General features: G+C 45.7%; 1 protein-coding gene across 7 annotated transcripts in view; it reads right to left on the bottom strand.

The window, feature by feature from the left end:
• Window positions 1–14,023, bottom strand: part of PDSS1 (decaprenyl diphosphate synthase subunit 1) — a 49,098-nt gene that overhangs the window by 33,284 nt on the left and 1,791 nt on the right. For 5 of the 7 annotated variants that reach the window (NM_001321979.2, NM_001321978.2, NM_014317.5 and 2 more), the window contains exons 2-5: window positions 11,321–11,353; window positions 8,774–8,838; window positions 8,121–8,229; window positions 3,747–3,877 (exon numbers count right to left, since the gene is read on the bottom strand). Coding sequence is in view for 6 of the 7 variants with exons in the window: in NM_001321978.2 (NP_001308907.1) it covers window positions 3,747–3,877; window positions 8,121–8,229; window positions 8,774–8,838; window positions 11,321–11,353 (338 nt within the window). In the remaining variant the exon portion in view is untranslated. Of the gene's footprint in view, window positions 1–3,746; window positions 3,878–6,186; window positions 6,316–8,120; window positions 8,230–8,773; window positions 8,839–11,320; window positions 11,358–14,023 lie in introns of those variants that run through there. The other 2 variants (XM_017016011.3, XM_011519437.4) reach the window with 2 other exon arrangements.

Below are 14,023 nucleotides of genomic sequence, written 5' to 3'. Positions count from 1 at the left end.
TCCCACAACTCCCGTGAACCTCAAGTTAAGAACTCCCCGTAATCTAGTAGGGAACATTTAATGGACAACTGAAAAGCTTAATAAAGGAAAATATAAAAATCAGTAAGTAGTAGTTTCTCCCTCGTGCTCTGTTTCTTAAGATATACCTTCTATCGTTTATTAAAATCCCCTCCAAAGTTTTGTTTTAAAAATCCCCCATGTTTTTTGTTTTGTTTGGTTTTTTTGAGACGGAGTCTTGCTCTGTTCCCAGGATGGAATGCAATGGCGTGATCTCGGCTCACTGCAACCTCTGCCTCCCGGGTTCAAGCGATTCTCTTGCCCCAGCCTCCGGAATAGCTGGGACGACAGGTGCGTGCCACCATGCCCAGCTAATTTTTTGTATTTTTAGTAGAGACAGGGTTTCACCGTGTTAGCCAGGATGGTCTTGATCTCCTGACCTCGTGACCCGCCTGCCTCAGCCTCCCAAAGTGCTGGGATTACAGGCGTGAGCCACTGTGCCCAGCAAAAATCCCCAATTTAATACATACCTCAGAAGCAAAAAAAAAAACAAAAAAACAAAAAAACACAGCATCTGATAAGCCTCCTAAGAGCCATTAAACTTTGATTGTCAAAGGTTTAAAACAGTATCCCTCCATTATGACATCACCAACAAGCAAGCCTGTCAGGTTCAATGTCAGGTTCACTGATCTGGGGCCACTGAGGCTGGAGGGGCTCTCTTGGCACTGAACATGGATGGTGCTGCTCCTGAATCTTTAGCTGCCATTTCCCCCTACTGTCCTAAGCCTTTCTCAGCAAAAGCAAAATCACAAATGGCCCAGCTCTCCAGAAGCCTCATCCCTTCTTCTTAAGTGGCATGGAAATAATACCTACATATTTAGTCCTTTAAGTGCCCGATCCAGAAGAGTCCACAGAAAGCAAGTATTGTCAGGAAGTTGGGGCTTGGAGAGCAGAATTGCTAGGGTACTGTACCACCCAAACCCACGCCACAACCGTGACTTGTCCCCATGCCGGACGCTGTCTCTGCACTGTGACTTTCCTAAGCCCTGCTCCAATCACTTATAGGGAGAATAAGGCTGCAGCTCTGACATTCCCTGGAGAGGGCAGTAGTGAACTTACTATTTAAACTAGCAATGGCTTTTGTTATATTCTCCTATGTTTTCTGCAACTAACAATTTATACAGTTTCCATAAGGCAGGCTGAAAAAACTTCAAATTGGCTGGGCGCGGTGGCTCACACCTGTAATCCCAGCACTTTGGGAGGCCAAGGCCGGTGAATCACCTGAGGCCAGGTGTTCGAGACCAGCCTGGCCAACATGGCGAAATCCTATCTCTACTAAAAACACAAAATTGGCTGGGCGTGGTAGCGTGCATCTGTAATCCCAGCTACTTGGGAGGCTGAGGCAGGAGAATTGCTTGAACCCAGGAGGTGGAAGTTGCAGTGAGCTGGGATTGTGCCATTGCACTCCAGCCTGGGCAACAGAGCGAGACTCCATCTCAAAAAAAAAAAAAAAAAAGAAAAAGAAAAAGAAAAACTTCCAATTATGGGGACAGTGGGTGATAGTACTTAAAGCAGTAAAAAAAAAAATTTCCTTCCCATGTTTATTTCTGAGAGCAATGAACTGTATTACATATTAAGAGAGAAATTAAAAATATAAACACATTCTCTAGACCAGTGATTCTCAACCAGGGGCGAATCTGCGCTGCGTGGGACCATGGGACACTTGGCAGTATCTGGAGGCATTTTTGATTGTTACCAACTCGGGGGCATCTAGTAGGTAGAGTCAGCGATGCTGCTAAACATCCTGTAATGCACATGGCAGCCCCCAGTGACCCCCAACAAAGAACAATGTGGCCCAAAATTTCAACAGTCCCGAGGCTGCGGAACTCTGCTCTGGACTGCAGGAGATGTTATTTCAAGTTTGGCTCAGAGGGAGCGTTTTTGCTGCTCTGCCTTCCGGTAAAGTGAAAGTGGTCCTGACAATGGTTAAAGGTCAATGCCAGAGATTTCACTGCTTGCTACAAATATACTGAGAGCTCTTTGAAAAGCCCAGCTAAAGTGGCAGCCAGACCTGGGCATGGCAATATGTACTGGACAAGGCAGGGCCAGCAGCAGGGCAGAGAAAGCTGTGGGCAGAGGAGAGGAGCCACTAAGAAGCAATATCTGACACTCATTCTTACAGCGTCATTAAATTCAGTGCTGACAAATCTTAGGCATTCCTTAAATATCTACTGAGAAGGGGAAATATAATACAAATGTTCAACACTAGGGAGATGTATTAGTACATCATGGTCTACTGGAATTTCCATCAATAGATTATATGATGTAATTGTGAAGACATTTCATTAATTTATTTTAAAAACTTTTTTTTTTTGAGACTGAGTCCATGCAACAGATAACTCAGACTTGACACGTCCAGAAAACAGAGTTGTGGTGGATTCTGAGACATGCCCCCAGATCCCCCGTCAGTGCATGACTCTGCCCCAGCTGCTGTATCAGGTATGGTTGGTACCTGTTGGCCTTCATTTCTTAGCCTCTTCAAGGATTGCCTTGGCTACAAAGAGTCCTCTCACCTTAGGCTGTGCCCCTTCGGGAGGCAGCCCACATCCAGGGACTGATAGATGAAGGGCCATTCTACCTGCACACCCTAGAGGGTGTTTCAGGCTGTTGATTCCAGCTCAGCTTCTCCTGCTACCCAGTCCTGTATCCTCTCCCCCTCCCTCAGGTGTCAGTAATCCCAGGGGATAATCCCGAATAAACATCCTGTCCTTTAAACTTCATCTCAGAGTCTGCCTCCTGGAGAACCTAACTTGCAACAGAGCTCAGCAAAACCCAAGCTCATTTTATTAAAGAACCCAGATCAAAAAAGAGCTTTATGGGCTGGGCACAGTGGCTCACGCCTGTAATCCCAGCACTTTGGGAGGCCAAGGTGGGTGGATCACATGAGTTCAGGAGTTTGAGACCAGCCTGGCCAACATGGTGAAACCCCATCTCTACTAAAAATACAAAAAAAAAAAAAAAATTAGCCGGGCATGGTGGCTCATACCTTGAGACCACATCCTGGCTAACACGGTGAAACCCTGTCTCTACTAAAAATACAAAAAATTAGCGGGGCACAGTGGCAGGCGCCTGTAGTCCCAGCTACTTGGGAGGCTGAGGCAGGAGAATGGTGTGAACCCAGGAGGCAGAGCTTCCAGTGAGCCGAGATCACACCACTGCACTCCAGCCTGGGCGACAGAGCAAGACTCCGTCTCAAAAAAAAAAAAGATGCCAGACTAGATTCCTGAGTGACTTTAGTGACTTAAAGTCAGAATCTAAACATCACAAAGTGAATTTTTAGGTACATGCTACTTTTTTTTTTTTAAGACAAGAGTCTCGCTCTGTCGCCCAGGCTGGAGTGCAATGGCGTGATCTCAGCTCACTGCAACCTCCGCCTCCCAGATTCAAACGATTCTCCTGCCTCAGCCTCCCAAGTAGCTGGGATTACAGGCACCTGCCACCACGCCCGGCTAATTTTTTTTGTATTTTTAGTAGAGACGGGGTCTCACCATGTTGGCCAGGCTGGTCTCAAACTCCTGATCTCACGATCCACCCGCCTCAGGCTCCCAGAATGCTGGGATTATAGGCATGAGCCACCATGCCCAGCCGGTATATGCTAATTCTTAAATGGGAAATGAAACAGTAAGTAACCCCGGGAAGAAAGACTTCCCAAATATAAAAACAAGAAAGGAATGAAAAAAAGAGCTCACCGGGAGTTGTTATGATGAATATTGCATGCTCGGGCCATTAGCGCCACAATAATTGGTCGAAAGGCTTTCCCTTTCCCATCAAAGTAGTACTCAGACATTTCCTTAAGTTCTGATGTTGATATAAGCAGTTCCTGAAATAAAGTTTCTCTGTGTCACAATGGCATCAAAAAACTGCACAGAAAGCCAACAGGATTTCTTTTTTTTTTTGAGACGGAGTTTCGCTCTTGTTGCCCAGACTGGAGTGCAATGGAACGATCTCAGCTCATTGTAACCTCCGCCTCCCGGGTTCATGCGATTCTCCTGCCTCAGCCCCGCAAGCAGCTGGGATTACAAGCACCCGCCACAATGCCTGGCTAATTTTTTGTATTTTTAGTAGAGACGGGATTTCACCACGTTGGCCAGGCTGGTCTTAAACTCCTGACATCAGGTGATCCACCCGCCTCGGCCTCCCAAAGTGTTGGGATTACAGGCGTGAGCCACCGTGCCTGGCCAGGATTTCTTCTACAAAACTTTGGTTTAATTTAAGTGTATTCATTTCAATTGAGAAATTCAACACTCCGTGGGCAAGGCTCCCACGCTGCAGGGCCATCCACCTGGCTGTCCTGCAGGCTAGAACATAAACAATGCGTGGATCAGCCCCAAGTGGCCTGAATGCTAGAACAGGTACTGCCACCTGCCCCGCTGACAGAATCAGACACCAGAAGACCCCAAGAGACAGCAGGAGGTGGAAGAAAGCACTAGGTGGCTAAGGGACTCTGGGCTCATTGACAGCCGGACAGCGAAAGGAACAGGGGCTGGTTCGCAGCTTGAAAGATGGAGGCGGGAAGAGAAAGATGGGGAAGGTGGAAGCCAGTGGCCGTCGGGAGCCTGTGAAGCAGGTCAGGCGGGTGGGGTGTGATGGGTAGGGTGGCAAAGTTGTTTTTTTAAATTTTTTATTTTAATTTTTTTAGAGACAAGGTCTTGCTCTGTCACCCAGGCCTCAGGGCAGTGGCACGATCATAACTCACTGCAGCCTCAAACTCCCAGGGGCAAAGCTGTTTACGAGGGGCAGGAAGATAGTAAGGCCACAGCCAAGGAGAAGAAACAGGGCTCAGTCCATCTGGCTTGGCCTTTATTTGGCAAAAGACATTTTGAGGGTTCATAGAGGCCCACGTAAGCGCATAGAGCCCATATAAGGCATGGGCTGCCGGATTACAAGGAGCCTACAACTGAACTGGGGAGAGAAACATTTTGCAAATATGAAACAATCAATGACGAATACAGTGGTAGCGTGAACAATGCTGTACATTAAATACATTGAAAGTTCAGGGAAGGAAGAGATCAGTGCAGGCTAGAAAAACTGAGTATTTCATGGAGGAGATGGGCTTTGATGTGGGATTAGAAGCCTAAACAGGGTTCTGATTCACAAAGAGGACAAGAGCCTTCCGGCTGACGGGTGTGTGTCGCTTGTATCTGCCACTCCAAGACTAAGTCAGAGTTTATCCCCTGGATGCAGTGGGAGTCAATGAACCTCAGCTCGGCACAGGTGAACACAACAAAGTGGGCCCATCGTTCATTCAGTAAATTACCGACTTAGTGCCAGGCACTGTAACAGACACAGAGGTCACAAAGGTAAAGTAAGACAAGCCTTGCCTACAAGGAGCTCAGGGTCTAGATGGGGAGAAGTAAAACGATCACTGCCGTTGACACAACACAGTGTGATGGGTGTGGTGCTGTCACCCAGGTAAGCTGTCACCTCGGAAGCTGAGACAGGGAGGAGAAGAGCACGAATGAAAGGACCAGGGGCATGGAATTGCCTGGCCTGGGGCAGTGGGGACTGACAAGAGGCAGACTAGAAGGACATAGAGGGGAAGGAGAGGGACAAGTCCTGGGTTCTTCCCAGGTTCCCAAGGAACAGGAAAACAGCAGAACAAACAACTCGTGGGGGAAAAGTAGAGTCTCAGCTGAGTTAAGCCTGAGACCGTCATGGCCGCCCCATGGCGTTCCCGGTGAGTAGTTAGCTACCTGGGTGTGGGAGATGTGATTCAACCTGGAGTAGTGATATTATTTGAGAGACGTAAGTATGGACACAGATATATAAGGAAGAGAGAGAGGAGGGGGCCCACGGAACCCCAGGGAATGGCAAAATTAAAGGAAGTGAGCTGGAGGTGATGAACCGAAGAAAAGCCTCAGGATAAGGAGGGGGAACAAAGTGCAGAGTGAAGGGAACCATGTTTCAAGGAGGGGTTACAGTCAATAGTGCCCAATGGTCAGAAAACCAGGAAGTGTCCGTTACAGTAGATAGCTAGTCAGGCATGAGCAGGGCAGGAGAGGGCTCCCCGACCCACAACAGGAAGGCGACCATCACGTGATGGTCAAGCAGTTGTTAACTGTGTCGCTAAAATACTAATTGGTCACAGCTGGTGCCAAGGGACGGCAGTCTCTCAATAGATACAAAAACCTGAAACTGGTGATCAGCTTCCCAATAAGATCTCGGGAGTTGGGTGAGTCGGCTCAACCATGCACACTAAGAGGCAAAATGGCAGAGCTTAATTGGTGTATGTCCTTCTAGGAAAACTGGGACTGGTATGGGAAGAATGCCTCACGTGAGCATGCGCAAAACTCCGGTAAACACACTGAGCATGCTCCCCTCCCCAACACTGGCGGGCCACTGCGCATGCGGGCAGCCCACCCCAAGGGAAGAATCCGGGGAGACGGGATGCAAGTCCCTGGAAGTATGCCAACATCTAAAACCCAAATTCCAAGGTCAAACCACACACTTTCTCTCAGGTCACCAGCTTGGCCCTCTTACAAGTGTACTTTACTTCCTTCCCTTCCTACTCTACACTTAATAATAAACTTTCTCTCCTGCTCTAAAACTTGCCTCCGTCTCTCCTTCTGCCTTAGGCCCCTCAGTCGAATTCTTTCTTCTGAGGAGGCAAGAATTGAGGTTGCTGCAGACCTGTACAAATTTGCTGCTGGTAACACATCCATTGGATTTAGCACAGGGAAGCTATCAGTGACCCAAGCAAAACCAGCTTCAGAGGAGAGGCTGGAAAGGGGGCCCCAGTGCAATAGTGGAGGGAACATGAAGGCACTGGAGGAAGGCAGAGGGCAGGGGATACTGTGAGGGAAGGGAGGGAGTGAAGCACTGGGTCAGTGGATGGGCCTTTTAAAAATGCAGGTGAAGAAACTGAACACCCAATGGATATGGAAGACCATGCCAATGAAAGTTTGCAGACAGAGGGAGAGGCCATGTCTGGGGGAGTTCCTAAGAAACTAGGGAGGTTGGCTAAGGGACTGCCCCTAGAGAGGGAAGGGACATGACTTCCACGGGTGGGAGGAGAGCAGGCAATCGCCAGAGAAGGCGCAGGCAAGCTGGCCAATTGCGACAGAGCAGGAGCTGAAGGAGTTCTTCCTCCACAGCCCCTACTGTCTGTGAAACAGGAAGTGGTGTCCTCTCAAAGTGCTAGGATTATAGGTGTGATCCACCGTGCCCAGCCAATTTTTTTCTAAAGACAGAAAAAATGTCTTGCTCTCTCACTCAGGCTGGAGTGCAATGGCGGGATCATGGCTCACTGCAGCCTCAAACTCCTGGGCTTAAGCAGTCCTCTTGCTTTGGCCTCCTAAATTGGTGGGATTACAGGCACGAGCCACGGTGCCCAACCACGTGAGGTTGGGAACTACTGAAAGTTTTCAGGAAAAAGAGTTGAATGAAGAAAGCCATATTTGGGGCAGACTGGCAATGACATTCAGAATTAGATAAGGAAGAGACAGCTGGAGTCACTGGGAGGTGGTGGGTTTTAAGAGGAAAGGTGGGATAACTCATTGGACAAGCATGAGCTACCTGGACCATTTTTTTCCTTCAGGTTCCCAACCCTGCCATAACCTCTTTCTGGACATAAATACATATTGCATTCTTCATATTGCCTGGCACTGGGTCATATGTATTCTTCTCAAGAAACATTTGAAACTTGACCATACGTCAATCAAGATTGCAAACTGCATTGTACAGATCTGAAAACCTGCACTGTTTTTTTGTAATCCCAGCACTTTGGGAGGCCAAGGTGGGTAGGTCACCTGAGGTCAGGAGTTCAAGACCAGCCTGGCCAACATAGCAAAACCCCGTCTTCACTAAAAATACAAAAATTACCCAGGTGTGATGGCGCATGCCTATAATCTCAGCTACTCAGGAGGCTGAGGCAGGAGAATTGCATGAACCTGGGAGGCAAGGGTTGCAGTGAGCTTAGATTGCACCGCTGCACTCAAGCCTGGGCAACAGAGTGAGACTCCAGCTCAAAAAATAATAATAATTATAAGAATAAAAAATAAAATAAAATTTTAGTAAGTTTTGGTAAGCTAAAACATTACATCACAGCAGAATAAAAAACTCACCTTTCTAATGTCCTCATACAGACCTTTCAAGTCTCTCCAACCGAGTTTGAAAGGATCGGTGTATTTTTCACCACTGTGTGTTTTACTGTCTGGGGTTGTGTGATGAAACCTGGGACATGCAAAAATGCACATGACTTCATTTTCAAGTAAGTTTTATATACATATATATTTAGTAGACTCAGATACGGAAAATTCAGCCCAAATATTTGCTAGAAATTAATCATGAATCTGAAAAGGTCATTATAATTTGGAAAAACATACAGAATTCTATTCTTGCTAAATGACAGATCAATAGATCACTTTTATAAATAGGGCCTTGAGAACCCACAAAATCAAAGAAAAACTAAACTATGTTCATTGTGCTCTGGGTTGAGCTCAAACTTTATTATATTCCTGTTTTTTGAATAGGCAGAGATCTACAATTTAGAATAGAAATTTACAGGCAATATAATTAATAATTTTAGGCCGGGTGCTTATGTCTGCAATCCCAGCACTTTGGGAACCTGAGGGTGGGAGGATAGCTTGAGGCCAGCAGTTCAAGACCAGCCTGGGCAACACAGTGAGCTCCCCATCGCTACAAAAAAAATTTTTTAAACAACAATAAATTTAAAAATGGATAATTTTAGTAGTTGCAGTATGGACTGTAAACTTACCGTGATATACGACATACATTTGGACAGGCAGATGTTAAATGCTTCACAAGATTAATATAGGGTATCTATAAAATAAAAATGTCAAGAAACTTGTAAGAATATTCCTGAAAAACTGTAACATTGGATGATAAAACCCCCATAATTATAATCTTTATCTTCTAATCACCCATTTACAGGTAGATTGCAAACTTTAGAGGAAGAATAATTTTAAAGTTTCCTTTTGTTATTACAAAATACTTGTCATTGCAGAAAACATAAATAAGAAAAAAGGAGAAAATAAAAACCATCTTCAGTCCATCCCTTCCCCCAAAGAAAGCCATTTCCATATTCATATCTATCTTTCCAGACCTGAAAATTAGTTTTAAAACAATTTCCTTCCATTTAACTAAGATTGGTCAGAGGAAAAAAGATTTCAATAGCAAGGAAGGAATTTATATTTATACAAACACTGTCTATTTTAAGTTCGTGTTCCTCAACATCCTTTGGAAATGGGAGAACAGAGTTTGAAAGCACACAAACCAGGGTGTTAAAAGTAGTTATTCTGGAATGAATCGGATTGTGGGGGTGTTTTGTTTTATTCCTTCTTTTGGTAGATATTTTCTGATTCTTCTCTAATGAACATGTATTGCTCTAGCCATATTTTTTTTTTTTTTTTTTTGTGAGACGGAGTCTCGTTCTGTCGTCCAGGCTGGAGTGCAGTGGCGCTATCTCGGCTCACTGCAGGCTCCGCCCCCCAGGGTTCACGCCATTCTCCTGTCTCAGCCTCCTGAGTAGCTGGGACTACAGGCGCCCACCACCTCGCCTGGCTAATTTTTTGTATTTTTAGTAGAGATGGGGTTTCACCGTGTTAGCCAGGATGGTCTCGATCTCCTGACCTCATGATCCGCCCGCCTTGGCCTCCCAAAGTGCTGGGATTACAGGCGTGAGCCACCGCGCCCGGCGCCATATTAAAATGACAATGAAAGTTGACTTTGCCAGACACCAGTCAAAGTAGTTGGCCTGAGTTTCATTCTTTCCCCCACAGCATTACATATTCATTAAACCAGTAAGAACTTTCATGATATCCCAGGCAATTACAGTGCAACAAGAAAACAAAGTGACAATCCTCCTTCATGCTTTATATGACAACCATTATATGACAACCTATGTCTTTCAGTCTACATGGGTAATTAATTCATATGAGTTCAGTATTTTATTATAATACTTATAAATAAGGGCATCTTAATGGAAGAGTAAAACTTCTTCAGTAAGAGACTTAATAATTATTATCAGGTCTCTAGTAATAGTTACTATTATTAGAAATCCTGAGCAAAAGTGATCCTCCTGCCACAGCCTCCCCAAGTGCTGGAATTACAGACGTGAGTCACTGCGCTTGACCAAATAACTATGATTAGTTATAATAACTAACTGAACTATTCTAACTGAATAACTTTTTAGTTATTCAGTTATAGACCCCTAATCTGGGTTGAAGGATTAAAATTACACAGCTAATTAATACAGGGGACGCTTTTTACCACCAAGTGGCCTAACAATTATTAGTAGCATGGACTTTGGAAGACAGATCTCGGTTCAAATCTCAACATTTGTGTTACCTTGTGATGTCTTTCTGATAATACCTACTCATGGAGAGAGGTGGAGATTAATTTAGAGAGCAGATGTAAAGCTCTTAGCTCAGAGCCTGGTACACAATATACATTTAATACAGTATCTATTCAATCAAGCTACTATTTTCTGCTTTAAAAGTACTTTAGAGCAGTTTTTCAAAGGGAGGTGAGAGGTGCTCAGAAAAGCAGTGAAGAATGAAAAGAGAGGGGCAACAGTCATTTTCTAATTCCGATTTTGTTTCTTACCTTTCCCTCACACACTCTCTGAAAGTCAACCTTGCCTCTCATGAATTTACTTTTATTTTATTTTTCCAGGCTGGAGTGCAGTGGTGCAATCATAGCTCACTGCAGCCTCAATCTCCTGGGCTCAAGCTATCTTCCCACCTCAGCCTACTGAGTAGCTGGGACTACAGGAACATGCCACAATGCGTAGCTGATTTTTAGAAACGAGGTGTATTAGTATGTTTTCACATTGCTATAAAGAAATACCCAAGACTGGGTAATTTATAAAAGAAAGAGGTGTAACTGACTCACAGTTCCAAACGGCTAGGGAGGCCTCAAGAAACTTACAATCATGGCAGAAGGAAAAGGGAAAGCAAGGCACCTTCTTCACTAGGCAGCAGGAAGGAGAATGAACACAGAAGGAACTACCAATCACTTATAAAACCATCAGATCTCATAAGAATTCGCTATAACAAGAACAGCATGGGGGAATCTGCCCCCAGGATCCAATTACCTCCACATAGGCCCTCCTTTGACACATGGGGATTAAAATTTGAGATGAGATTTGGGTAGAGACACAGAACCAACCATATCGTTCTGCCCCTTGCTCCTCCCAAATCTCATATCCTCATTTTTCAAAACCAATCATTCCTTCCGAACAGTCCCCAAAAGTCTTAACTCATTCTAGCATTAACTCAAAAGTCCAAGTCCAAAGTCTTACCTGAGACAAGTCAAGTCCCTTCCGCCTATGAACCTGTAAAATCAAAAACAAGTTACGTTACATCCAAGATACAATGGGAGTACAGGTATTGGTTAAATGTTCCCATTCCAAATGGTAGAAATTGGCCAAAACGAAGGGGCTTACAGGCCTCATGCAAGTCCAAACCCAGCAGGGCAGTCATTACTTAAAGCTCCAAAATGATCTTTGACTCCATGTCTCACATCTAGGTCACACTGATGCAAAGGGTGGGCTCCCAAGAACTTGGGTGGCTCTGACTCTGTGGCTTTGCAGGGTTCAACCCCCACTGCTATTCTCATGGGCTGGCATTGAGTGCCTGCAGCTTTTCCAGGTGCACGGTGGAAGCTGTTGGTGGACCTACCATTCTGGGGTCTAGAGCACGGTGGCCCTCCTTTCACAGCTCCATTAGGCAGTGCCCCAGCAGGGACTCCGTGTGGGGGCTGCAACCCCACATTTCCTTTCTGCACTGTCCTAACAGAGGTTCTCCATGAGGGTTCTCCCCCCTTCAGCAGACTTCTGCTTGGGCATTGAGGCATTTCCATACATCCTCTGAAATCTAGGCAGAAGTTCCCAAATTGTTGTCTTCTGTGCACCTTGCAGGCTCAGCAGCACATGGAAGCCACCAAGGCTTGGGGCTTATACCCTCTGAAGCAATGGCCCAAGCTGTACCTTGGCCCCTTTTAGCTACGGCTGGGAAGCAGGGCACCAAGTCCCAGGGCTGCTCTTGCACAGAGCAGCAGGGCCCTGGGCCCAGCCCATGAATCCATTTTTCCCTCCTAGGCCTCCTGGCCTGTGATGGGAGGGGCTGCAGAGAAGGTCTCTGACATGCTCTGGAGACATTTTCCCCATTCTCTTGGCTATTAACATTCGGCTCCTTGTTACTTATGCAAATGTCTGCAGCCAGCTTGAATTCCTCCCCAGAAAATTCTTTTCTATCACATCTTCAGGCTGCAAATTTTCCAAACGTTTATGCTCTGCTTCCCCTTTAAATTTAAGTTCCAATTTCAGATCATCTCTCTCAGGCTCAAAGTTCCACAGATCTCTAGGGTGGGGCAAAATGCCACCAGTCTCTTTGCTAAAGCATAGCAAGAGTGACCTTTGCCCAGTTCCCAGGAAGCTCCTCATCTCCATCTGAGACCACCTCAGCCTGGACTTCATCGTCCATATCACTTTCAGCATTTTGGTCAAAGCCATTCAACAAGACTCTAGGAATTTCCAAACTTTCCTACATCTTCCTTTCTTCTTCTGAGCCCTCCAAACTATTCCAACCTCTGCTTGTTACCCAGTTCCAAAGTAATTTCCACATTCTCAGGTATCTTATATCAATGCCAACTACTTTGGTACCAATTATCTGTATTGGTCCATTCTCACACTGCTATAAAGAAATTACCCATGACTGGGCAATCTATAATTATAGGAAAGAGGTTTAATTGACTCACAGTTCTGAATGGCTGGGGAGGCCTCAGAAACTTAGAATCATGGTGGAAGAAGGAGAAGGAGAAACAAGCACCTTCTTCACAAGGCGGCAGGAGACAGAATGAACACAGGAGGAACTACCAAACACTTATAAAACCAGCAGATCTTGTGAGAACTCCCTATCATGAGAACAGCATGGGGGAATCCACCCCCATGATCCAATTACCTCCACCTGGTCCCTCCCTTGACCCTCCCTGGTCCCCAAATATAATTGGGGATTACAATTCGAGATAGATGTGGGTGGGCACACAGAGCCAAACCATATCAGGAGGTCTCACTAAGTGGCCCAGGCTGGTCTCGAACTCCTGAGCTAAAGGGATTCTCCTGCCTCGGCCTCCCAAACTGTTGGGATTACAGGCGTGAGCCACCACGCTCAGCTAAAGAGAAAGTGCTGGGTAAGAATCAAATACATGGCCGTGTGCCAATCCTCAAGCGGGGTGGGGGGGAGGGGGGAATGGCTTGAGTCCAAGAGTTCAAGACCAACCTGGCCAACACAAAAAGTCCCCGTCTCTAAAAAAATAAATTAAAAAAAAAAATCAAAGATATATTGAGAAGTGATTTGGCACGATCACATGCACACTGGTTTTTATTGTATTACAATATTTGTTCACACTACTAGTGAAGTCAGAAGAATGTACAACCATTAGGAGGTAGTAGAGCTCTGGTGGAGAGCAAGACGTGGCTTAATTATTGCCGCTCTTTGTCCCTGTGGCTTAGTTATTGTAGTTCTGTGTCCCCAAGGACTATCAGGCCCTAAGAGACTTGAAGTAACCAAAATACACATGCCTGAGGCAGACACCAGAATGCTAACATATTAACATATAGTGAAAGGCATCACTGACACACACATCAGAAATACATGATCTTGGCATCATGAGTCCACAGAATTCCTCCTTGTCGTCATGCAGACGGGGAGGCCATAAAGCATATTCTCTCCAGAAAAGCACACTTTCCCTGGCTAAGGTTGCTTGGTGGGCAAGAAACTTTTTTAAAAAGAAGTGTCAGGCCAGGCGTGGTGGCTCACACCTGTAATCCCCGCACTTTGGGAGGCCGAGGAGGGGGTGGATCACTTGAGGTCAGGAGTTCCAGACCAGCCTGGGCAACATGGTGAAATGCCGTCTCTACTAAAAATACAAAAATTAGCTGGGGGTCGTGGTGTACGCCTGTAATCCCAGCTACTTGGGAGTCTGCAGCAGGAGAATCGCTTGA

This window comes from Homo sapiens, chromosome 10 (assembly GCF_000001405.40).
Source record: "Homo sapiens chromosome 10, GRCh38.p14 Primary Assembly".
In the NCBI taxonomy this organism is placed as follows: Eukaryota; Metazoa; Chordata; class Mammalia; order Primates; family Hominidae; genus Homo; species Homo sapiens.
The sequence above is the reverse complement of the archived record's forward strand: the minus strand, read 5'-3'. Positions and strand labels throughout refer to the sequence as shown.